The following is a 27474-nucleotide window of genomic DNA, read 5'->3' on the forward strand; positions in this document are numbered from 1 at the left end:
GTAGCCAATGACTACAATTTAGGGCAAATCACTCAGTTTCTCTGACTCTGTTTCCTCTTCTGTGAAATGGGGATAACAGTGGTGCTGGGGGAACGGAATAGATAATATATGCAAAGCACTTAGTACAGTGGCCTCCCCAGGGATCCCCCAGTAAATGGTGGTTAGGTGTCCATCAGGAAGTGGGATCTTTTGATAACAGATGGATCCTGTTTTAAAAAGGAGATTTTTTTTTTCTTATCCTATAACTATCCTTTACCCTAGTAAAGGGTTAAATCGCTGTGTAGGAAAAGAATGAAAGCCTGTGTCTCTCAGTGAGGTGGGACTGAGCTTGAAATTGACATTCTACAAGAGTTTGACTAGGAACTGTTGTTTGGAGAAGCCCACCCTGCCCCACTTAAAAAAAACCAGTGGTGTTTTTGTTTCTTAATAGCTAAATCTACCCACTGAAAGCCCCAAACAGGATTCTCTTACATTTAAAAAATTAGCCTGACACACCAGTGCCTTCTGAAAGAAGCCGTCCGAGCTTTTAAGTCAAACACACTAAGAATTCCTTCTTTCTCTCTTGTTTGCTTTCTCTCCCTGGCACCCATAGACAAAAGATGTCTCAGGGATTTTTAACTCAGTTATGCTGAAAATCCAAGATTTAAACCTGATTCCCAGCTGCTCCTTTAGAACGTGTTGCACGAGAGATGTTGTTTAGTCCAACTAGCTGTGGGGAGGGGTAAACACACACTGCTGGATGGTGGGACGTGCAGAACGTCAGGGGAACATAACCAAACAGAGTTAAGCATGTGCTGTGACTAATAGAGGACAGCCTGGGGTGTGTCTGTCGTGAGAGAAATCACCTCCCCACTGGGCCCCAGTACCTGAGAGAGGCCAGGAAAATAGCATCTGATTCCCAGGCAGTGTTTATCCTGCCAGGCTGCATGTGGCTTCAGTTATCACAGCCATGCTCTTCTGAGTTGCCTCCTGTATTGGTTCTGGAAGGGGTGCTGCCACAGAGGGTCTATGCAATCTCTCCGGGTGAGCCCCATATCAAGGAAGCCAGGAGCCTACCGCAGAGCAGGACAGAACACTCCCACATCCCTGGCCCTGGCCTGAGCAGAGATGTCCAGACACTTCCCCAGGCACCTGCAACCCAACACTCCTCCCTGTCCTTTCAACACGGTTTGGCTGGGAGTATAGGGAGGCTCCCAGCAAAGTCACCATGACTGGCACGAGTAACCTTACCTGCATGTTCCAGGACAGCACTAACCCCTTCAACAAATGCAGTTTGTTGTATTTTTCAAAGGAGAACAAATTTTACTGGTGGTGGAGATTGCATTTTTCATGTGCGTTTTTGCTGGTATAGAAATAATACATATAGGTTGCAAAAAGAAACTTGGATGAAATAGAAATATACGAAGAAGGAAGTATCATCACTCCTGTACAGCGTTGAATAGTGCTCCCCCATGATTTATGTCCATCCAGAACCTGTGAAAGTAACCTGTGAATGGAAATAGGATTATTGCAGATGTATCAAATTAACATGAACCCTGAATCCAGTATTACTGGCGTTCTTACGAGAAGAGGAAAATTTGGACACAGGCACACAGGCAGAATGCCAGGTGATGACAGAGGCAAAGAATGGAATACTGCAGCTACAAACCAAGGAGCACCAGGGATTGCCGCAAACCACCAAAAGCTAGGAAGAAGCAAGGAAGGATCCTCCCCTGGAGGCTTCAGAGGGAATATGACCCTGCCAACACCTTGATTTCAGACTTCTAGCCTGCAGAATTGTGAGATAAATTTCTGTAATTCCAAGTTACCCAGTTTGTGGTAATTTATTAACCAGCCCTAGAAAACTGATACAGCCCCTAAATCCACCAATCAAAGTTACACACTGTTTACATTTTAATATATGTCCTTCAATTCTTTCTATAATGCATCTTATAAAGTCGGTGTCGTTTCGAGGTGGGCAAGTCTATGCAAACCTACCCCAAAGTCGGAGGAAGCTGAGAGGCTAAAGAAACAGGCTGACAAATCCAGTTTCTTAGGAAAAAATATTTAATAAGGACTTTTTTTTTCTTTTGAGACAGAGTCTCACTCTATTGCCCAGGCTGGAGTGCAATGACACCATCTTGGCTCACTGCAACCTCTGCCTCCTGGGTTCAAGCAATTCTCCTGCCTCAGCCTCCCGAGTAGCTGGGATTACAGGCCTGCGCCACCATGCCTAACTAATTTTTGTATTTTTAGTACAGATAGGGTTTCACCATGTTGGTCAGGCTGACCTCAGGTGATCCACCCACTTTGGCCTCCCAAAGGGCTGGGATTACAGGTGTGAGCCACCGCACCCAGCCTTAATAAGGACTTATGAACAGAAGCCACGTCTCCAGCCATGGTGGATCCCAGCACCATCCCCCAGAGCCAGGGATTACATACAGTAGGGGAGGGGCACAAGTGCTGCAGAGGACATGCCTAGAAATTTGCCCTAAGGGCAGGATTTATGACAAGTGGGTGTTCTTAAACAAGGTACAAGAGATAAGCTGGAAATCTCAGAAGGTTTCCCAGAACTGGGGTTATTCAGAAGCCAACATGGTGGATTAGCATCCGAGGAATTGCTTTGGCCTCCACAGGTGTCCAGTTGCCTTCGTCTGGGAAAATTTCAGCTACAGTTCTAATTGACTTCAGGCAGCATCTACTGCTTTTCCAAATAACTAAGTAGCTGGGAGAATACTGAGGAATGCGCCCTGAGTCCTCCCACCATACCCCCAAACTCAGAGCCGGAGGTCTTAGACATCTAAGGTGATGATGTCCCTGCCATCACCTCCAGGTGACTGTGCAAATTATTCTGGGAGGAACTCTTTCAGGTGGCCTTACTGGCTGATGCATCCAGCAGGGAATATGTGCCAATCACACTTCTCTACCCTCATGTTCTAGGGCAGTGACAACCTCAGCCATGGAACCTCCTTGTCCTGAACTTTCCCCAGCTCCAAAAGGAGAAGGTCAACCGCAGGCTAGATTTCTCTACTGGGACAGATCACTGACACTCAGCTGGATTTGTCCTATACTAGCCAGGTGCCCGGTCACCTACCTTTGAAACCTCAGCAATAGTTTTCACTCTTCTCTCTCCTTTTCCTTTTACTCCAACCCTTCTCCCCAAATCTAAGTAAATGTCAAGTTCTGAAATCCCTGTGTAACATTTCACAAATTCATCCTCCTTCCATGGCTACCCTAGCCTGGGCTCCAGATCAAGGTCAACGTCAACAGTGATAATTCATGTGAATAGTATGTACTCTTGATATGATGTGATGAAAATAGCAGCTACCATTTGTGGTCTGCCTGTCTAAAACCATAACCCAAATCTAATGAGGAAAACACTGGACAGATCCAAGTTGAGGAATATTCTACAAAAGATCCCACCATTACTCCTCAAAACAGTCAAGATCATCAAAAATAAGAAAAGTTTCAAAAACTCACAGCCAAAAGGAGCCTAAGGAGACGTAATGACTAAATTTAATGTGGTATCCTGGGTGGATCTTGGAACAGAAAAAAGGACATCAGATAAACACCAAGAAAACCTGAATAAAGTGTGGACTTTAGTTACTTACATCATTATTTGGTTTATTAAGTGTGGCAACTGTACCATACTAATGTCAGACACTAATACTAGGAGAAACTGGGTGCAAGGTGTATGGGAACTCTGTACTATCTTTGCAATTTATCTATACATCTAAAACTGTGCTTAGAAATTACGTTTATTTTTTAAAACTGTGTGTGCACAGGGCAAGGAGCTGGTTGTGGATGAGGGTGAGGATGGGGATAACGAGGAGTGTCCTTAGGGTGGTACTTCTCTCCTGACTGAAAAATCAAAACACCATTATCTCTACCCACTCCTTTCTCCCAGCCACCAGCAAGGGTATCCAGAATCCAAATAACTAATGGCTTTTCCAATAAAACAGGAGGGCCGATTACATTTTCTCCCTTGTCTTGCTTGTGTTTCACAGAAGTAAAAATAAATCAACAACACATAGGGCAATCACCATAGGAAAATTTTTAACATATTGCCCTGCCATAATAATACGGTCCTGAATTTCCCTTACCACTTTATCAACCACTAACTATCCTGCACAAGTCCCGTGTTTTAGTCAAATTGGTCCAGAACAGTGGGTCTCAAGCTCAGCTGTGCATCAGAATCACCTGGCAGGCTTGTTAAATAAAGATTGCTGAGCCTCATCCCAGAGTTTCTTATTCACTAAGGCTGGAGTAGGGCCCAAGAATTTACATTTCTTGCTAGTTCCCAGGTGATGTTGATGCTGCTGGTCCAGGGACTATAGTTTGAGAATCACTGATCTAGAATTCTCTTCTTTATCTGCGTATTTATTTTCCTTTCTATCTCCATGCTTCTGCATATTTAGAGTCCTATCTGGAATGCAATCAGAATGTATTGGTTAATACTATGTACCAGACATACCAGTAGGTTCTTAGGCTGTAGCAGTGAGCAAAAGAAATAAGGTTCCTGTTTTCATTTAACTTACATTCTAGCAGTCAGATAATAAATGAATAAATAAATAAGAGAATTACAGATTATGACAAGTGCTCTGAAGGAAATAAACAGGGTAATATAATATTGAGTAATTAAGGATAGGAGGTATGAACATTTCTTGGGTGCCTGATCACCATACATTCTCCCCATTCTTACACTACCATGAGTTTCTTGGTAACATTGGTTGGGTGGGATTGACCCTACATGGCTTCGTTCAGGTGGCTGTAACAAAATATCTTAGACTGGGTAATTGTTAAACAACAGAAATTCATTGCTCACAGTTCTGGAGGCTGGGAAGTCCAAGATCAAGGCGTTGGCAGATTTATTGTCTGGTGAGGACTTAACAGATGGCTCCTTGTTGCTGCATCATCACACGGAGGAAAGGGCAAGGGAGCTCTCTCAGGCCTCTTTTACAAAGGTACTAATACCATTCATGAGAGTGGAGCCCTCATGACTTAACCACTTCACAAAAGTTCCACCTCTTAATACTGTCACATTGGGTATTAGGTTCCTATACCTAATACCTGAATGTTGGGGAAACACCAACATTCAGACCATAGCACAATCCGTAGCTCCAAAGGTGGGCCTTGACTAGCTTAAACCAATTGGCACAACAATCTTTCCGGCCCAGCAGTGGGGTGGATACTGTGTGCCCTTTAAAAAAGCTTAGATGCCCTTTACTGGGCACAGTACACACCCCCCAGCTGCTATGAGTATTGACAGCAAATGCTTCCAGCTGCTCATTTTTTCCCTGGCTGACACGAGCTGCCTCACCTGAAGGTAGCCCACAGCAGGTAACTAATATGTGGGTTCAAAAGGCCATGTTGCCTCCAAGGGAGCCAACTCTGTGTTGTGACTTAGGCTCCCTCTGTAGATCAGGCCAAGGCTAGAGTTGACCTGAGATCCTGTTATTGCTCCGTGTCTTAGTCCATTCAGGCTGTGACAACAAAATTCCATAGACTGACTGGCTTCTTAAACAACAGAAATTTATTTCTCAGAGTTTTAGAGGGAAGGAAGGCCAAGATCATGACACCAGCAGATTTGGTATCTGGCAAGGGCCCACTTTCTTATTCATAAACAACTGTCTTTTTGCTTTGGCATGAAGTATCTCTCTGGAAGGTATCTCTGAAGAAGTCACATTTAAGACACAAGAGCCAACGAGGTAGAGGCAGAAGGGAAGAAGAGAGGATAACTAGTGAGAAGGCCATGAAGTGGGAAAGAGGTTAGCAAGCCGGAGCAACAGAGGCCAGTGTAAGCACAAGGGAAAAGAAAGGGATAAGATTAGGAAGCTGCTCAGAGACATTGGAGGTGTGGCTTATGCAAGAAAGGTGAGTAGGACTCTGTCAGCAAACCCTTACTCAAAGAGCCTGGTCCTAGCATTGAAAGATTAATGAATAATTCTACATTTAGGTAGTTTAGGTCAAAATATTACATTTAAAATGTATCCATTTTTATGATTCTCAATTTTAACAAAATTTTCAATTAAACAACTACCCGTTGCAGTTTTCAACAGATAAGAGGCCTCTGATTCTATCCCATCATATGGATGTACTATAATCTACTTACTGCTTAAGGATGAGCTTGCTGAATAGTGAAAAAAAGAGAATAAAATCAAATAAACTTATTGTTGCCAGTCCTTCACGTAACGAATAGTGCTGCAATGAATAACTTTGTGCATCTTTGTACAGTTATTTAAGCCTGTAATTTTATAAATATAGAATTTCTGAGAGAGAATCCGTATTTTTCATTTTAAACAAATATTGCCAAGTTGTTCCTGAAAGTATATACCAATTTATACTCCACTTATAGCAAATCTTACTGGGCACTTTATCAATCAAATAGGCAAAAAATATCTCACTAAAATCTCATTTCTGATCAAACTGGCGAAAAAGTGCTTTATTTTACATTTTTTAAATTATGGAAGAATATTTTTATTTGCCTGTTGGCGATTTGTGTTTCTTCTATTATGAATTCCTAATTCATGACTCCTTTTTTATCCTTCTGTTGACTTCTTTGTCTTCTGTTAACTTGTGAGCCCTCTTTGGTTATCATGAATATTAGCCATTCATCTGTCACATGTGATCGAAATATTTTCCCCATTGTTGGTCTTTGACTTTGCTTATGTTATGTTTTAGATTTCTAGGTATTAAAATTACTTTTCTAGGAAAGCCTCTACGTTTTATTTCATGCTTGGAAAAGCCTGTACACTGAAGATTAGAAAGCCTCTTACCTGTGTTTTCTCTAAAATATTTATGGTTTAATTTTTTACATTTGAATTCACTTGGAATTAATTTGGTATGAGAAGGTAAGAATTCAGCTGATTTTCCAAAAGTCTAGCCAGTTGTCCCAAAATGATTTGTTGAATAATCTGTATTTTCCCTACCAATATGAAATAAAATTTTATCAAATATTAATGACTTTTATATACATGGTTCTATTTTTAGGCTCACAATTACATTTCATGGACATATCTATTACTACACCAGGACCACATTGTTTTAATTACTGCATGAAAATGCTTTCTTTATACCTGCCTTTCCTGGGCTGTTCTCATTGCCAAGTTTTAATGGTTATTTATTTGTTTTATCTCCCAAGTGGGCCTAAGTTCCTTTAGAGCAGGAACTGTTGGTTAAGCATTTTTATAGCCTCGACAACTTGGCTGAATATTTATTTTTCTTAGTAGCTTTCCATCCTGCTTTTCCACCCCATGGTGATTTGCACAGAGTAATCACTCATTTATTAAATTTTAAGTGTTAAAGAAGAAACAGCAAGATATTCAAAGAGATAGAAAATAAAAAGGTTGAATTCATGAGAGGCTGAAACAGACAGCACTACTGGTAGTAATGGAAGGCAACTTGAGTGATAAGTAGCCCAAACTGAGATGTCAGTCTGTCCAGAATAGCACCTGTGTTATTTGTGTCATTGAATCAGCCCTGGTACTTGGTCAAGTGCTCTAGTCAGCAGATCTTGGAGACTGAAGGAATGACTGCCTTGATCATCTAACTCTGTAACACCAGCGTTGAGAGCCGACCACCATTGCCTCACTCCTTTCTCAAATAATGGCTGTCACTCTAAAATACTGTGAAAGATTTGGCATACACAAGCCTAATCATTCTGAGGAGCTCTCTCCATTTCAAAGGAGCCATGAGAGTGTTGATGAATTGCCTCTGTTAGGAAACTATACATTTATTCCAATGATTCCACCATCGACCAAAAAGTTTTACTGGCATTGCCTTCAGAGCCTGGGGATAATCCACATGTAAGAGGATTTGGGGTTAAAGCTGCCAGCTGAGAGTTAAACTCCCAAAACTAACACAGAATCATTTTCCAAAATTTGCATTCATGTTAAATTGTTAAAATTGTGCATTTCCAGTCATGTAGAGATTGATTCTGGAGGTTGGAATAGATTTGAATATGTATGTCTAACAAGCACCCCACGTGATTATCAGTTTGGGAAATACTAACATAACAGATTGGATTAATCTAGGTAGAAATGGGTTATCTCAAAGACTTACGAAACACAGGAGTCCAATTAAGTTAATTCAGGTGTATCCTTAAAACTAGAATATAACTAAAGAAAAACAACTTATTTATACTGAAATGTATTTTTTAAAACAAAACAAAACAAAAAACCCTGGGCTAATAGAAGAGTACGGTGCTTGACTCAAGTCTAAAAGAACAACAACAACAAAAAAAAACAGAAAAATGGATCAGTACTGCTACAACGAATGAAGGACTATACAGACCAGCCAAAACAAGTTTTCAGCTTCCCTTTGATAAGAGAATTTCAGAAAACTTCTGGCAGTGGCAGTTTCTAGAATTAAGTGTAACTTAATATAATTAAGTATATTAATGTATTCTTAAGTATATAAGAAGAATGACAACTTCAAAGTATAAAACTCATAGGAATGTAGATGTTTCAACATGGATTACTTTTGAAAGGGCTTATTAGTTTTAAGCCTTTAAGCATTAATATTTAAGAATTAGCTTTAAGGCTTATGTAGCTCTGAATATAATTTGGTTTGTGACTTTGGGCAAGTCACTTACCTCTCTGGGCCTCTAATTCCTGCCTGTAAACTGAGGAGGTTAGATTGTTTCTGAGCGCAGATGATCTGTAGGCTCTCCTGTAAGTCTCATATTTGGTTGTATGACTTCACCATCTCTACCTAATGCACACACAGGGACCCCAGCTGCTGATATTGGCCTGGAATCTCTTGGCCTCACATCTTCCAGTCCTTCCCTAAGACAAGCCCTGCCTGTGACTCAGCCTGAGGATATAAGCAGAGGAGGCAAACTGCTACAGAAAACACAGGCTCCTCTCCAGATCGCCGCGTGGTCTCTGACAGGTTTTCTGGTCTGTGTTCTAGTTACATGGGTTTCAAATTATTCCTTCCTTTCCAATGGGTATTATCCCTTACCCATCTGCTGGACAAGCAATGTGTGGCTTAGAAAAGTCCCCAAGGTAGAAGATGAAATGTAATTTTCTATTCTCTCTCTCTTCTTTCTTTTGTAGAGGCAGGGTCTCTCTATGTTGCCCAAGCTGGTCTTGAACTCCTGCGCTCAAACAATTCTCCTGCCTCGGCCTCCTAAACTGCTGGGATTTACAGGTGTGAGTCACCACACCCAGCCTCTATCATCTCTCAAGGGTCTCTATTCACCAGTAATTATCCAGGCAAAGTCACTTGTCATTAAATGTCTCTAAAACAATGTTGTTATAAAAATGTGTTAAAAAAAAGTAAAAGAGAGAATTGTGTCCTTTAAAAAAGAAGATAGCAATAAAGACGGAGATGAAGACAATAATAGAGAGATATCTCTATGTATTAGGGATGTTAACCAAATACACCCAATATACATAGAACTCTAAAAAATGGCATAAATGACTAAAAATTTGATAGTAAAATATTAACAGATAACTTACAGAAAAAATTTTAAAATCATGAACATGTAAAAAAAGGTGTTCCAAGACAAAATCAGTGAAATATAAATTAAAATAATACTGAAACAGATTTTTTTCTATCAAAGTTTATCAAGAATTAAAAAACTTAACAAAACATTTTGTGGGCAAGGCTGTGCGGAAACAGTCACCTCATATATCCCTGCGGGAAACACAAAAATGGTACAATACTTATAGCAGGGAATTTGGCAATACCCAACTAAACTATCCTTTTGACTGGCAGTTCCACTTTCATGACTTCACCCAGTTACAACTGTATAATAAGAGAAGACATAGCAGTTAATCATAATAGCAATATTTGTGATTACAAACTTTTGGCAGCAACCTAAATTTTCATACATAAGAGAGTAATTAAACAATGGCACGTCCATTCAATGGAGTACAGTACAGCTATAAAAAAGAAGAGGAAGATCTCTATGAGATGATATGGAGTGATTTACAGAAGATCACCCCAAGCTAAAATTAAAAAGTGGAGTATATTCTTTAATTTTTAAGCTAAAGTGAAGTGCAAAGAGTAAAGATGGTATGCTACCTTTTGTGTAAGAAAATAAAAATTAAATAAGAAAATATGCATGTATCTGCTTATTTTTGCAAAAGGGAACACAGAAAGAATAAATGAGGAACTAACTTTGGTTACCCATACGGTGTGAGTAAAAACAGGGTAAAAGGGATAGAGGAGGAAGTGAGAGATCTTGAAATATACTTTTCTGGTACCATTTTGGCTATGAAAGCATGTTACTATTTTATTTACTCAGTTTTACTTACTCAAAACCATAAAGTTAAACCAACAAAAATGGAGGTAGGTGAGAAACCCAAAGTACAATACAAATGAGCCTTACATTCCCAAATGAATAAGTATACTGGAGAAAAATACCTAAATAACTTCAAAAAAAAGAGAGAGAGATAGAGACCTGCTCTGTCACCCAGGCTGGACTGCAGTGGCACCATCATAGCTCACTGCAGCCTGGAACTCCCGAGATCAAGCCTCCTGAGTAGTGGGACTATAGGTCCACACCCTAAATAACAGTCGAACTTAATATTTTGCTTATATAACCTTGATCTAAAGACAAAAAGAACTACAAACAAATGGTGAACTATACTTTAGCATGTCCATTTTTCACAGTGGTATAGATGAATAATTCTGAAATTATTTTCTAGGCATGAAGAATTGGGCAAATAAATATTTTCAGGATGTTGTGAACCAGGTCTCTCACTATTAGAGAAGGGAGATACAAATAAGGAGGGAGTAGGCTGTGAAAAATCTTGTACTGCTAGATTGAAACTGGATATAGTATAAATTTATTATATATATATACACACACACACCCACACACACACACATATATATGGGGGTGTATGGGGGTGTGGGTGAGTGTGTGTGTTTCTTAATTCTGTGTGTTGAAAGGGCCTAGAAGTTTTGATATATCAGTAGCAGCAAGGACACCCAGCACCCTAATCTTGGTTTCTAAATACCATTCCCCACTACAAGGAACTAGGGTTTCCTGGAGAAATGACTGATTCCAGAGCATGGCCAGAAAAAGTCCAAGAAGATATGGACTATCTTGTGTCAGAAAGGAAGCAAGTGCTCAACAAATGATGGAGACATGTCAAATGAATGCAAGAACCAACTTAAAGGTGCTTCCATTGGTCAAATCTGAGACAATTGGAGCATCAAGATTAATAATTGTAGTAATGGACAATAACCAACTAAAAAAATAAGAATCCACGAGTCCATACTGATAATTAATGATGCAGGTAACTGCTCCCTTACAACAGAATGTCAACTAATAAATGTAGAAAAAATGATGGTGTTAGAAAAATCAACACGTTGTAACCATCATGGCAATAATTGATTTAGATAAGAATCATCAATAAATGATAGAACTAATGGCTAAAAATCTGATGAGGAATAGTTTATCTACATTGTGTCAAAATATCTCATCACAAATTATTTATTAATTACAAAGGGAAAAGTAGTAACTTTGCAGTGAAGAAATCTGGCAGATATTACCTTAACCAAGTAACCAAAGTCAGCATCAATAATGGGTCAAACTGATATCTAGTGTTTCCTGATGGGATGCGCTGGGAAGGAAATGATATCACTGGTTTAAGATTCCTGTCAAAAATGAGTACATCATGAGGAAACATCAGAGAAACCCAAACTGAGGGCTAGTCTGGAAAATAAATGGTCTGTACTCTTAAAAAAAAAAAAAAAAAAAAAGTCAATGACATGAAAGGCACGTAAAGCTCAGGAATCATTACAGATTATGCAAATTAAAAATCCATATAAATAAAGGTAATGCTTAATTCTGTATTGGATTTTGGACCAGAAAAGCAAAATTGCTAAAAAGAACATAATTGGTGAAAATTGAATAAAGTCTGTAGACGAGAAAATAGTGTTATGTCCACTTCAAAATTTCCTGATTTAATAACTGTGCTGTGGTTGTGTAAGTGAATATCCTTGTTCTTAGGAAATTTACAGTGAAGTATTTAGGAGTAAAGAGGCACAATGTGTGCAACACACTCTCAAATAGTTCAGAGAATAATAAAGCAAACAGGGCAGAATATTAACAATTAGCAATTCTCGGTGACGTGTATATGGAGATTTTTTTTTGAACTGTTCCAATTTTTCTCTAAGTTTGAAATTATATCAAAATAAAAGTTTTGTTTTTAAAAGAGAAATAAAAGCCATCACCTGGGCATCCCCCCAAGCCAACAGTGGAACCTGCTGGGTATTTTTCTTTGCTTTTTTTTTTTTTTTTTTTTTTTTTTTTTTTTGAGGAACTTGAGAATTACTGAGCTACAGGAAATCCCTATGATGAAAAGGCCACCTCCAGCAAGAGCCTGTCATGAAGAATTGCACCCTCCTGCCCCCAAGCCCTCAGGCCTCTGTCTCTGAGGTCACCAGTTGGCCCACTAATGTGTGATACCTCACAGAAGGGAAGAGAACATGTCAGATGTCCAACTCATCGCCATGACCCCAAACTGCTCATGACTTTGCTTTGCTGCAAAAAGATAGAGGGAAAAGTAGGGAACAATAATTTTTTAAAAAGACAGTCTCAAGAGTTGTCTGCACACGTGGCCAGGCTTGTTTTCCAGCTAGAAACCCCAGGGGTAGGACATGATGGTCCCCAGAGAGTACAGCTTGTGGGTTACAGAGTCATAACTAGGTTTAGTATCCTGGCTCTGCAACTTAATAGCTACTTAACTTTCTGAACCTGTTTCCTCATCTACCCAATGGACATAATTATGCCCACTTCATACAACTATGAAAAAAATAACATATGTATACAAACTCACGTATGATGACATTTATACAACCCAAATTGTGCTCAAAATTTTTTTTCCTTTTTCATTCCCACAAGTGACAAAAATGTGCCTGATCACGTAAGTATCTTTAGGATTGTGGACAATAGTCACACATGAAAAGTAAGTGAAAAAAAAATCCAAATCAATCAGTGGTAAATAGATACATTAACTCCAATCAAGAGGTAAACTAGCCAGAGCTGCAGGTTCAAATCAGAAGAAAGGATTGGATAATGGTCTAATTTGAAACAAGAAGGTCAGCTGTGAAGATAGCCCCATTAGTAGAGCATGAACAAGGAGTCCCTTGTTATCACTGTGACTATTAAAAAAGTGCTCAGCGTCTTTTTCAGTGAACTGACCATGGAAAGCATTCAGACCTCACAATTGTATCCCAGCCAAAACCCCTCACCAAAAGCAACCCCACCCTGCTTGAGATGGTGAAAGCTATCTGTCAGCTTTAGAATATTTCTAAGTAAAAAGGAAGATGATGAAAGAAACCAAATCATGTTATTAATAGATTTTCATATGTTTAGGAATGATCTGTGTATATTTTATACTTTAAGTTTTTGGAGAGTTTAAGAGATTTCAGGGAATGTTATCGATTTAGCCTTTGATTCAAATTTAAAATATTTACCGGAGTGATTTTAGACTTGGATTTTAAGTTGAAAGAGAAAGAATGACACAAAGTGGAATGCATTGGAGATGGAGCACATTCATTAATTGATCTATTAGATGGGGAAGGTTTTGGTAGATAGGTTAGGCAGTAAAAGTGCTTTAAAAAAATCAAAATATACTTAATTTTAAAATACAGTCTAAAATGTTCAAAAGAATTTTTATAAATTAAGATGTAAATAGGACAAATTGCTTAAGGAAATTTAGCCTGTTCACCTAGTCAATCAAACCATAATCATACTCCCTGAATTTAAACTTGAAAGGTTAAGGAAAATTAGAGTTTTACTTTTTAACTTTTCAGTTGTCTTTTTTTTTTTTTCTTTTGTGAGATGGAGTTTCGCTGTTGTTGCCCAGGCTGAAGTGCAACGGCGCAATCTCGGCTCTCGGCAACTTCTGCCTCCCGGGTTCAAGCGGTTCTCCTGCCTCAGCCTCCTAAGTAGCTGGGATTACAGACATGCACCACCACACCAGCTAATTTTGTATTTTTAGCAGATATGGGGTTTCTTCATGTTGGTCAGGCTGGTCTCAAACTTCCGACCTCAGGTGATCCGCCCTCCTTGGCCTCCCAAAGTGCTGGGATACAGGCGTCAGCCACCGCTCCTGGACTACTTTTTAACTTTTCTAAATTGAATATTAATTTTTAAATCTTGAGGTTTAAATTATATTTTGTGTTCACAAAAACATATTACACAGACACTAAACAACTCACCTTGACAGTGCCGATATTTAGGTGGATGATTACTTAGATTTCTACTGTATTTTGTTTCCGAGGAGTGCTAGGTATAGAAAATGGAATTTACTCAATTTTTAATTAAATATTTTAAAACAATTTTAACTCTCAGGAGATGGGAGAAACAAAAAAAAAATCCATGGAAGGATAATATGATGAAGATAATTAAAAATTATTTTGTGCTTAGTATGTACCCCACATGGCTCTAATGTTTTGTTGTTGTTGTGGTTTTGTTTGTTGGAGACACAGTCTTGCTCTTGTCACCCAGGCTGGAGTGCAATGGCGCGATCTAGACTCACTGCAACCTCCACCTCCCGGGTTCAAGTGATTCTCCTGCCTCAGCCTCAGAGCAGCTGGGACTACAGGCACCCGCCACCACACCCGGCTAATTTTTTGTATTTTTAGTAGAGACGGGATTTCACCGTGTTGGTCAGTCTGGTCTTTAGTAGAGATGGGGTTTCACCATGCTGGTCAGGCTGACCTCAGGTGATCCACCAGCTTTGGCCTCCCAAAGTGCTGGGATTACAGGCATGAGCCACCGCACGTGGCAGGCTCTAATGTTTTACATATATTATTTATTTAAATCTCCTGAAAACCTCATGAAATTTTAGAAGTAGAAGAACAACAAAGAAGAGAAGGTGTTGTGTGGGCTACCACAATCTAGTATAAGTTCTTATCTCAGCACTTCAGTGTTTTCTAAAGTAGTCCAATTACAATACAGTGCCCTGTGACATACCTATTCATTTATTCATTTACTTTTGCAACTAATATTAAGTTTTACCATGTGTCAAGCTACAGGGTGGCAAAGAGCCTGGTTGTAGGAGGCCAGTAAGGAGGCTAAAGTACCAATCCAAGTGGAAATGATCCTGCCTGGATTAGAGTGGTAGCAATGCAGACACTGAGAAAAAGAGAGATAGATAATTCTAATTCCAGAAATTAGAATTGAAGTGACTTGGTAGCAGTTCACTGGAAGTAAGGAATAAGGGAAAAGATAGTATCTTCTCCCAGTTCCTCTAAAAAGCGAAGCCTGAAGTCAGCTGCTAAGTTAAGCTGCTAAGAATGCATTTGGTAGGTACAAGCCCAAAGCAGTGAGCATGAGGAAAAAAGGGAAGTGGGCAAGGAAAGCTGTGGGGAAACGCAATGTGCTGCATCATCACTCTGGCTCCTGCTTCACAGCAGGATGCAAAAGAGAGATAGCGGGTCACTCAGCAGGTATGTTTGTTCAGCACATAAGACTCCTCAGAAGGCCTGCAAAGAACAAATATACCCTGAAGTAATCCACAAGAGACAGAAATGAGGGGTAACTGCCAAGTTACCGTCTATCTGCAAAGACAGTGATATGGTTTGGCTCTGTGTCCTCACCCAAATCTCATCTTGAATTGTACTCCCATAATTCCCATGTGTTGTGGGAGGGAACCAGTGGGAGATAATTTGAATCATGGGGGCGGTTTCCCCCACACTGTTCTCGTGGTGGTGAATAAGTCTCATGAGATCTAATGGTTTTATCAGGGGTTTCTGCTTTTGCATCTTCATTTTTTCTCTTGCCGCCCCCGCCATGTAAGAAGGGCCTTTCCCTCCCAAAGTGCCGAGATTGCAGCCTCTGCCCGGCCGCCACCCCGTCTGGGAAGTGAGGAGCATCTCTGCCTGGCCGCCCATCGTCTGGGACGTGAGGAGCCCCTCTGCCTGGCTACCCAGTCTGGAAAGTGAGGAGCGTCTCTGCCCGGCCGCCCATCGCCTGAGATGTGGGGAGCGCCTCTGCCCCGACGCCCCGTCTGGGATGTGAGGAGCGCCTCTGCCCGGCCGCGACCCCGTCTGGGAGGTGAGGAGCGTCTCTGCCCGGCCGCCCAGTCTGAGAAGTGAGGAGACCCTCCGCCTGGCAACCGCCCCATATGAGAAGTGAGGAGCCCCTCTGCCCGGCAGCCACCCCGTCTGGGAAGTGAGGAAGTGAGGAGCGTCTCTGCCCGGCAGCCACCCCGTCAGGGAGGGAGGTGGGGGGGGTCAGCCCCCGGCACGGCCAGCCGCCCCGTCCGGGAGGGAGGTGGTGGGGTCAGCCCCCGGCACGGCCAGCCGCCCCGTCCGGGAGGTGAGGGGCGCCTCTGCCCGGCGGCCCCTACTGGGAAGTGAGGAGCCCCTCTGCCCAGCCACCACCCCGTCTGGGAGGTGTACCCAACAGCTCATTGAGAACGGGCCATGATGACAATGGCGGTTTTGTGGAATAGAAAGGGGGGAAAGGCGGGGAAAGGATTGAGAAATCGGATGGTTGCCATGTCTGTGTAGAAAGAGGTAGACACGGGAGACTTTTCATTTTGTTCTGTACTAAGAAAAATTCTTCTGCCTTGGGATCCTGTTGATCGGTGACCCTACCCCCAACCCTGTGCTCTCTGAAACATGTGCTGTGTCCACTCAGGGTTGAATGGATTAAGGGTGGTGCAAGATGTGCTTTGTTAAACAGATGCTTGAAGGCAGCATGCTCGTTAAGAGTCATCACCAATCCCTAATCTCAAGTACCCAGGGACACAAACACTGCGGAAGGCCGCAGGGTCCTCTGCCTAGGAAAACCAGAGACCTTTGTTCACTTGTTTATCTGCTGACCCTCCCTCCACTATTGTCCTATGACCCTGCCAAATCCCCCTCTGTGAGAAACACCCAAGAATGATCAATAAAAAAAAAAAAAATAAATAAATAAATAAATAAATAAATAAAAATAAATAAATAAAAATAAAATAAAATAAAATAAAAATAAAAATAAAAATTAAAAAAAAAAAGAAAAAAGAAGGGCCTTTCGCCTCCTGCCATGATTCTGAGGCCCCCTCAGCCATGTGGAACTGTAAATCCAATTAAACCTCTTTTTCTTCCCAGTCTCAGGTATGTCTTTATCAGCAGCGTGAACACAGACTAATACAGAGAACCCTAAAGAGGGAGTAGAGCTGTAGAAGGTGGTGATGAGCATTAAATTTTGTATATGTTTTATTGTATCTCACATGTTGCCAAAAGGGAAATCTGCAGTAGGCAGTTGAATGTCGATGGAGTCTGGAGCTCAGGAGAGACAAAGCCAGGTGACAGAAAGATGGTTGTCATTATAGAGCATGTGCTAGGCTGTGCCACCCAGAACCCCCTTTTAGGGTTGAAGCACTCATTCCCCAGCTGCCAGGACTTTAGCCCGCTGATGGCTCACAGCTGAATTCCTCTGCAAGAATGACTTTTTATCAAAGGAAACTGACTTACCCGAGTTGATGTGCCTGCCCTGTGCATCCAATGGCTGGTTGATGAGGGGTTACAAAGGCCTGTCCCCTTTGCTTCAATTCAGGTCATCTCTAAAGGCCATCCCAGCCCTAGAGTTCCCTAGAATTGGATGATGCCACTGTTGTATCCACAGTAGGTCCTCACTTAAAGTGAATAGGTTCTTGGAAACTACTACTTTAAATGAAATGATGTACAATAAAACATTTTTTCCCTCACCAATGTTATAAAGAAAGAACATTGCACCAAACAACTTTATTGGAGGGCCTGCTGTACATCTTTTAAAGTCACAGTTTCCAAGAGACTCCTTCATGCCAGCCCTGGTGCAGCTTCTGAGAGCTTTCCCCAGTTCACCACCTGCATTCGAAGCTCTGTGTCGGTCTCCCAGGGAACTCGAGGGAATGAAAATTCTAGGTAGACAATTCTTTCAGGTAGCTTGCCTTTGACAATGGAGGAGGATTCCTGAAGAGGGGTATGGTTGAAGGAGGATTTTTTTTTTTTTTAATTTGGAATGATGAAGCTAGTTGAGAGGGAAGAATTAAAGATTCTAGGTAGAAAACGACCTCCAGGAGGGAATGGGATCCAAATCACAGATAGAAGGATTGCCTGTTTTAAGAGGAAAGACATTCCCTGAGATGAGAATATGGGAGAGGGAGTGGATCAGTGTGAATGTAGATAAATTTATTTTCACTGTAGGGAAGGTCTGATCAGCCACTGAGAGTAAGCAGAATGGAGGCTGGGAAGACAGAAGCTTGAAGACAGCAGGGAGTGCTAGAAATTGGCTTCGTGGACAATGGGGGGAAGAGTCGCTCCGAATAATGTATCAGAATCGCCGAGCAGTGCTGAAAGCAGGGTTGAGAATGAGGTCAACAGGAATTTATAGTGGCAATCATCATAGCACTAACCATGGTATAATTACTCACAGGCCTGCTCAGCACTGTGCCTGACAAGCAGAGGATACGCTAAATGTTGAATGACGGAATAGACCCAGTTTCAGTGAGCCCTCCAGTTAAAGGGCCACATGTTCTCTGCCATCATAGTTTCATCAACAAAAAGCCACATCACATCTGCCTTGGGTCTATTTCTCTCTGATATTTTTAGTCTAGAGAAACATTGAGGTGGTTTCCCTGCTTTTGTACAAGTTTGTCATATGTTCTCTCTGCATGCTTTGTAATGCCTGTATGCATTAAGTTGTTTTCCTAAGATCACTGGACTGGGCAGATCAGAGCTCAAGCTCGCAGGTCACCTAACTCCCATTCCACACACTGTGCTATGAGATATGCTATGTAAAACTGCCAAGTCGTTCCAGATGATTCAGCAGGCCTTCAATATTACCTGCCTGCCTGTCTTCCCTCCTTCCTCGCTGCCTCCCTCCACCTTTCCTCCCTCAGACCTCTTGGAATCTTTTCTGACCTCTCTACTAAGCTGTCCCCAGCTTCATTATGTTCAGCCCTCATTTGCACATGCTCTTGACACCTGGTGTTTGGTGGCAGAAATGGCTGATAAAATTCCACGCTGATTAATTTCATGTTTAATCTAACTGATACTTCTGTAGCCTTTGCAAATAACCTTTTTGAACAAAAACGGCAATGGCTCATTCCAAACCCGATCAAAGAGGTATGCATGACTCACAGCCACTAAATAAACATTGATGCCTGATGGCAGTAATATGGCTATTTATATTCAGAGCCTGATTTAACCAGTGGCATTCCTGTAATAAGATAATAAGCATGAGCTGTTTACTAGAAAAAAAGGAGAGTCTGTGGTGCTGGTGTTCAATAAAATCTCTTAACAGGCAAATGAGTCTCTGAAATTGGTTGGCAAATACATCCAGAATGAGATGTGCTAATTAGCTGCTGTTACTGATTTTCTAAAATAAAGAGTTTAAACTTAGATTAGTCCTGAAATTTAGTACAATAAAAAATACTGGATAAATGATATTATGTTGAGTCTTACAGATTATGTTTAAGATAAGTCCAACAATACAATTAAGAAAAAAGAACTCTGCACCTAAATCATTAGATTTTTTAAAGACTAAGAGGTTGTAAATGTGGAGAATTATAAGCATAGATATGTGAATCTCAGGTTCAATTTTTTTCTGTTCAGAGAGCATCTGTAGGTGATTCTCTTGGCCACAATGGCAGGGACATCTATTACTATCAGAACTTTTGTTTTTAAATAGGAAGAGCAAAGGAATGCAAGAATTAGCTTAATAGTATTTGGGTAGCCATTAAAAATAGATTAACCTATTCAGAACCAAGATCACAGAGGTTCTAGGTAAGCGTGTGGGAGACAATTATTCTGAACTCAGAAATAAATGATCAAGGCCATCAAGCTTGTAAGGCCTCTCCCAGCATCTTCCCCCAAATAAGAGCAGCAGGAACTTTCACCTGCTTCCTTTCTCCTGCTATCGCCCTATGCAGCAACTTCCAGCTGCTAAGCATTCATCTCAAACCTCCATTTTAGCTGCTTTCTTCACCAAACGGGAATGAACTATCTATTGGGACTTCCTACTTCAAGCAGTGAGAAAATCTTAGGAGATTTCCAAGTATTTTGTTTTTATTCATATATTACTTCTAAAGAGAAATGGATGGGTAATAAGAGGATTCAAGTTGTGTCTCGATCATAATTTTTTTTCAAAACAAGTTTGAATTCAAGGACCTGTTGTTTGAGTTTAGGTAGTTGAGATGATGTTTGTGTTCCCAGAGCAAATGGTTCTTTTAAAGGCAGCTAGATGGGCAGATGTCAGTGCTGCAGCCCCAAGGTGACTAACGCTCCTAATGTTAGCAATGAGTGAATTCATTCATTTGGTTTCTATTTATCTACAGTTAAACGATACAAGTTGATTATTTGCTTTAACTAAGATGTTCAATTCTTATCAGAGTCTTTAGTAATCAGAGTTAATTGACTATATTTGTCTTTGTTTCTATTTAACAGTAGGGGATGAGGGGATGCCCAGTTTAGGTAGCAACTTTTCCAGCTACTACTGGGACCCAGAATTGTGGGTAACACCCTCACATAGGCTAGCAAATAATTGAAATTATTAACAGAATCCTAAGTCATGAACATGTGGTCTTCCTTATATTTTTCAATGGTATTAAGGTTCTTTTGAAACCAACTCTACCTGGCTTAAGACAAAAAGGAATTTACTTGTGAAAGGATATTAGTAATCTCACAAAATGTACAGGAAGAGTTGAACAGCCACACCTCAAAAGTGTAAGAACGACAGTTCCAAAGACATGGAAACAAGGGTTTTTGGGGCTTATTCTGCTTTTGTAGTTTCACTACTTACTTCTCCTGGCTCCTTTGTTTCTCTTTTTGAGATTCCATATTCTTAGATAAGAAAATCTAATTGGTCCAGTTTGGCTCAAACAAATGACTTGAACCAATCAGCTGTGACTAGCAGAAGAGTAGGTCAGCATCACATGGCATAGATATGGCTTCTGTGGAAGTCCCCAGTGAATGGAGGCTATTGTCACTGGGCAGCAAACCCAAGGGTCCACTGTGTACCCAGTGCTGCTCCAAGTGCCAATCCACAAGACCATTTGACACTGGATCAGGAGGAGATAAGCAGCTTGCACCAGTATCTAAATCAGCTCACTGCTTACATCATTGAGAAAGTCTTACTATTAAAAAAAAATGCTGAACTAAAGAGCATGCTTAGTGGCATAGTTGATTTTGCACTCTGGCACAGCACTTCCTATCTTCTTATGGATTAGTAGCAAATAGTTTGCTGACAGGCAGCTGCCTGTGGCCCACTCTATGAGCAACAATCTCTTCTGTTCAGTGCTCATCAAGAACATGTGCTTTGAAGCCACCAGGGTTTTAATTCCTGCTATACTTAATAGCAAAATGACGTTGACCAAATACCCCTTGCTTCATTTTCCTCATCTAAGTTGGAGATAACAGTACTCCCATATTAGTCAGGACTCATTCAATTATAGGCAGCAGAAATGTAAACTACTAGGTTAAACCAGATGAAATTCTGACATTCAACCTGCAAATATGGCATTTTCATATGGTTCAATCTAATAGCTTAAGCAAAAAGGAAATTTATTGGTTTTTGAAACTTCAAAGTACATTAGTGGGGGTAGGTACCATATACATCTGAATCCAAGGCTTAAATGAATAAAGGGAAGGAGAAGCCCTCTATTTCCAGCAACCAGCATTGGATCATATGGCATACGAGGACTCTAACTGGTCCTACTTTGGTCATTCTCCCAGCCCCTGGTCTAATCACTGGCCAAAGGAACATGACATTTCATGATTGGTCAGGCTTGTGCTTGGGAGTAAGTAGGGCACTATGATGAATAGATTGACAGTCCTGTCAGATAAACCCTATCTGTCTTGGTCAGTTATATCTCTGGTCCCTAGCACATAATACTTACCAAAAAGATTAGGTAAATAAATGATTGGGAAAAGGGTATTGCACAGTTTCCTCAGTCAAAGAAGCAGCAGACAGAAACATTAGAATTCAATGATAAATGCCTACATCATATGGTTAAGATTACATAAGAAAGTGATACACATGAGACAGAGACTGGCACATAGTAGCACATTTACCTGCAAAATAGATCAGGCAAGCATTGGAGCCCATATTTTCCATGTAGAGACTGGCACGTAGCAGGTGCCCAGTTCTCTTGATGGACTGAGTCAGTTAAAAAGTGAACTCAGCCAGGTGCGGTGGCTCGTGCCTGTAATCCCAGCACTTTGGGAGGGCGAGGCAGGTGAATCACTTGAGATCAGAAATTTGACACCAGGCTGGCCAACATGGTGAAACCCTGTCTCCAATAAAAATACAAAAATTAGCCAGGCATGACGGCACACTCCTGTAATCCCAGCCAGTCAGGTGGCTGAGCCAGGAGAGTCGCTTGAACCCAGGAGGCGGAGGTTGCAGTGAGCCAAGATCATGCCACTGCACTCCAGCCTGGGAGACAGAGTGAGAGTCAGTCTCCAAAAAAAAAAAAAAAGTGAACTCATAAATAGACAGTGAGCAATCTGGATCCCATTCCTTTGGGAAATGTTCTTCATCCTATTGCAATTGTGATTTTGTCTCAAGTTTTCCTATGAACATCCAGACAGCCATATAATCAACAGGGCAAGAGAAAATGGGCATTAAATCCAACTGGAGGCATTTTAGTTAGAGACCTACATTAGGAAAATCTCTAGGATCTATAAAACAAATCCATAAAACTTAAGCAAACAGGCTAATTTTTATTATAATTCTTCCTGGTGGAAGAAAGTGAGCAGATGACTTTTAAGAGTCCTTATCCAGTGACTGGCAGCATTTGTACCTCACATTCCAGCCCACGTGAGGACAAAGGACAGGGGATGGGAGCAGGAGACACAATATCAGAATATTTGATTTGGAAGTGTCCACAGAGCTCATCTAGTCTAATCCTCTCATTTTACTAAAGAGGAAATGAGGCCTGGAGAACTGAGGTGGCTTGTCAAAGGGTCACAAAGGCAGAGTTGAATCCAGGTCTTTTCAATCCATGTCCATTCTTTGTCTTCCACACTATACCACAGGCAGTGGCAGCCCACTCTGAACCAATAGTGCCCCCATCACCCTTGTGAGGTGGGCAGGAAAGCAGGTGGGGAACAGGAATGCCTTAGTGAGGAGCTAATAAAGACCCTCATGTGGTAAAGGGTCAAGGGCAGGCATCTATGCACCCTGAAGTGTAATCCAACTTCCACGTTCAGTCACAAACCACATATTGCTGATCTACACCTTCCCACCTGCCACTTGCCCTCATAGAGCAGGATTATGGTCTGAAGACAATCCAAAACATATGCGATATTTTGAAAAAAAAAATCCTTTGTCAAGCAATTTTAACAAATAACAAGTTAGGTTGTTTTATGAACACCTTATTTTCTAAAATAAAATACAGGACATTAATCTGACAAAGGAGTTTTGAGCCTCTTCTGAATAAGAAAAAAATGAGAAAAAAACATTTAGGTGCTGAAATATTGACTTGGTGGGTTTATGAGGAGAAGAGGCAGCTTATTTGCAATTGGGATAAATCCAGGACATGTGCTCACTTAGAGGCATACTTTTTACACATATTTTGTGCCAAACTGTTAGTTATCCACCAATGTCAGCTCTCCCCTTCCTCACTGGCAGAGCTCCTATATTGCTGGGGGAAAGGGTGTGTATTAGTTCATTTTCGCACTACTATAAAGAACCACCTGAGACTGAGTAATTTATAAAGAAAAGAGGTTTGACTCACAGTTCCACATGGCTGGGGAGGCCTCAGGAAACACAATCATGGAGGAAGGTGAAGGGGAAGCAAAGCATATCTTACAAGGTGGCAGGAGACGGAGGAGGGAGACTGCCACCCACTTTAAACCATGAGATCTCATGAGAACCCCCATGATCTAATCACCTTCCACCAGGTCCCTCCTTCAACACACGGTGATTACAATTCGAGATGAGATTTGGGTGGGGACACACAGCAAAACCATATCAGGTATGTCAGTATGCCAGCTTAATTTTTTAAGTTACTCATTTCAGATGTAAGCAAAAGTCATTAAGCCTTTCTAGAAAACCCCTTCTATTCCTATTCCCCCTCTTTCTACATCTTCTATGTGCTGATCAGATGGCTGGAGCTCTAGAAATCATATCATAAACATGGGATGAGGATCCATCCTAGAGATCATGGAATGTTGGGCCGCAAAGAGCCTAGGTCCCCAAAGACCTCATAAGCCCCACCACATCGGCCCTATACTGCCCTACAGTGTCCTCTTAGGTGACAGAAAAGTAAAGCCCTGCCTTGTTTAAACCAGTTTTCAGATCAGACAAGCACAGTTCCTGACTGATGCAAACTCGTGGCATTGACTTGGAAAAGTTATAGCCCCTTCATGTCTCAGTCTCTTCCCTTTAAAATTAGGTAAGAACATTAACCAGCATTAAAGAACACATAATACAGTAGTTTTAAAATTTTGTTTATTGAAATGATTGTGGCAGAGTTCAGAGGAGGAAAGGAATCCTTTACATGGATCTCTGAATTCTGCCAAACTTGAATCAGAACAGCTCCTCTTCTTTTTGATGAGTTTCCTAGTAAGATTTCAGTTGGAGGGAAAAAAAAAACTTAAAGGCTAAAAGAATTTGAAAATCACTGGCATAGAAAAACATTTAGGACACATGGGGCATACCATTGCTCATGAGATTGTATTTTTCCAACGTTGCCAATGCATCTGGTGATGCCAGTTGGTTCCTCGGCAGGACCAATATTTCCCACCTGTAGACTAGCCTCAGGGAGCAGGATAGGGCCACTAAGCAGTGCAAAATGCCCTAATCATTGCAGGAATAAAACCAATCAACCCTGCTTCCTTCATGCTGTGCTCTAACCACCTAAAGAATAACTAATGAACCTGAGAGTGGTGTGGTGTGGCAGCTGCTCTGTGAGGTGTTAGAGACCAGAGGCATCTGAGGAGTCATGTGCATTCAGAAGGTGTGTTGTCATTCAGTGGCTCTGAGCTCATCTTGGACCTTTGTTCACTCTGCGTGCTATCTCCATTCCCAGCTGCCAAACTCCAGACTCTGCCGGGGATGGTCAAGCTTTCCTTGACTTCCTTTCTCATGCTCTCAAACATCTCTAGACAAACACAGATTGTTAAAACAGATCATTCAGCTGAAATATATTCTATTTGCATCACATCTTACCTCTTTCTTTTCCCACTCTACTCTACCACCCCAACAACATGCCTGCAAATACACCCTTCTGAATGGGTTTTGGAATGATGATGGGAGAAATAAAAGAGGAAAGATGACATTAAAAATTAAGAGAAAGTATTTACAGCATAATTAGTAAGGAGAAGATGGAAGGTCTTTGCTTCCTGTTGGATTCATTGAGGTGGAAGGGAGTGCTAGATATATCATCTCTTGGACCTCAGTACCTCTTGCCACCTTTTTTTTTTCTTTTGACACAGGATCTGGCTCTATCACCCAGGCTGGAGTGCAGTGGCACCATCTTGGCTCACTGCAACCTCTGCCTCCTGGGTTCAAGCCATCCTCCCACCTCAGCCTCCCAAGTAGCTGGGACTACAGGCACACACCACCACGCCCAGCTCATTTTTGTATTTTTTGTAGAGACAGGGTTTCACTGTGTTGCCCAGGCTGGTCTCAAACTCCTGAGCTCAAGCAATCTGTCTGCCTCAGCCTCCCGAAGTGCTGGAATTACAGGCATGAGCCACCGTGCCCGGCCAGAAGTCTTATTTGATCCAGTCAGGTGAACCAAGGCAAATGCCCTTGTTGGAAGAGCTCGTTTCTCACCCCTTATCCCCTTCCTCCAAATTAGGGTCATATAACTGAGACACTATTTCTTCTATATGATCTTTAAAATTAGGTAACGTTGGAATGATCCCTGTTCATAGGATGCAAGGCTGGTTCAATGTTCAAGAATCAATCAATGTAATCCACCATATTAATAAATTAAAAGGAAAAAAATCACATGATCATATCAGTAGACACAGAAGACACTTGACAAAATTTGACACCTATTAATGATAAAAAAAAAAAACTCTCAGAAAACTAGGAATAGTGAGGAACCTTCTCAATCTGATAAAGAACATCTACAAAAAAACCACAACTAACATTATAATTATAGAAGACTGCTTTTCCCCTAAGATCACTTATAAGGCAAGCATGTCTGCAAGAATGTCTGCTCTCACCACTGCTGTCCAACTGTGATCTAGCCGGCTCAATAAGGCAAGAAAAGGAAATAAAAGGCATACAGATAAGAAAGGAAGGACTAAAATTATCTCTGTTTGCAGACGCAGTGATAGTTTGCATAGAAAATCTCAAGGAATCTACAAAAACCTTCCTTAAACTGAGTTCAGCAAGGTCACTGACATAAGATCAACATATGAAAATCAGTTGTGACAATTAAAAAGTGATTTGTATTTCTGTATTCTAAAAGTGAATATGTGGAAACATTATAAATACAATACCATTTATAATCACTAAAAAAAAAAAATACATGAATGTAAAACGAGATAGCAATGGACTGCCTGCTATTCACAGGTCTCTCAGTTGCTAGAAGGCCCCGTTCTGAGATAAGCCACCTCTCCACCCTGACACTAGTAAAGAGGTCAGAAAACCTTGAGTAAGGTTGGAGGTATTAATTTCGGGCAATTAATTACATTCTTTCAGCATCCATCTCCCAGAAGTTTTCACTGGGAAAATCCTTTAGGAGGACATCCCCCATTAGCTATTCATTTTTCTTTTGCACTGACTGGAGAACGAAGCGACTGTCAGCTGTGTCACACAACTCGTCGAAATTCACCCCTGGGTGAAGTGATCCTCAAATAATTACCAAATGTAGTTCAGGTAACTGAATTAGTGAATTACATTGGCTCCTTTGAGATGAAAGACTCTTTAGGAATGTGAAATACTTTGGCTCTTTGTTATTAATAACCTGAACAATGAAAGAGCCCAAAGTAGTATTCAATATGCTCCAGGAATGGAATGACTAAAATTAAAGAATGCAATTGATTTTCATTTTCCATACTTTTCATTTTCTATCCTTTTCATTTCAGTAGTCAGGACTGAATATGACAAGTCATCAAATCCCCTCTGATGTTAATAAGGCATCAACTACAGAGCTCCAAGAAGAGAAAAATCCAGTCGAAGTGTGGCAAGTTGTTGGTTCTCCTGCTCTCTATGATTTATTATCTTTTCTTCTTACCATCTCATTATGATACCTACAGGTAAAAACCTCCTACCTTGATCTGCTTCATTTTCTTCAACCTTAGTCTAATAATTCGACATTAAACATCTCAACTACCTTTGCATCCTTCAGACAAACAATCACGCCCATGAGTTGTGCTTAGCAGAGCAATGTAGGATGCCCTCGGCTTGGTGCTCCGCTGCAGGTCATCAATGCAGGGTGTGAGGATGACAGAGCCCAAAGGCAAATCCCAGGCAGACAGACCTGACCTTAAAGCAGGAGGAACGGGAAGTGGCAGGGAGGGGTTAAGGTTGACAAATCAAATCCTAGTCTACCTGAGGTTGGTAGAAAGGCTGAAGATGTTTGTGGGGATGTT

General features: G+C 41.1%; 1 long non-coding RNA gene across 1 annotated transcript in view, besides 2 other annotated features; it reads right to left on the reverse strand.

Annotated features, from left to right (window-relative positions):
• LOC102724945 (uncharacterized) overlaps positions 1 to 27474 on the reverse strand; it is a 244858-nt gene that overhangs the window by 104066 nt on the left and 113318 nt on the right. The window lies entirely within an intron of this gene.
• Positions 12280 to 12389: an enhancer, noted in NCBI's record as "active region_8248". NCBI's record gives its function as "activates an Ori minimal core promoter by ATAC-STARR-seq in GM12878 lymphoblastoid cells {active_cell/tissue: GM12878}" and the evidence as "EXISTENCE:reporter gene assay evidence [ECO:0000049][PMID:35858748]".
• Positions 12470 to 12529: an enhancer, noted in NCBI's record as "active region_8249". NCBI's record gives its function as "activates an Ori minimal core promoter by ATAC-STARR-seq in GM12878 lymphoblastoid cells {active_cell/tissue: GM12878}" and the evidence as "EXISTENCE:reporter gene assay evidence [ECO:0000049][PMID:35858748]".

This window comes from Homo sapiens, chromosome 14 (genome assembly GCF_000001405.40).
Source record: "Homo sapiens chromosome 14, GRCh38.p14 Primary Assembly".
Classification (NCBI taxonomy): Eukaryota; Metazoa; Chordata; class Mammalia; order Primates; family Hominidae; genus Homo; species Homo sapiens.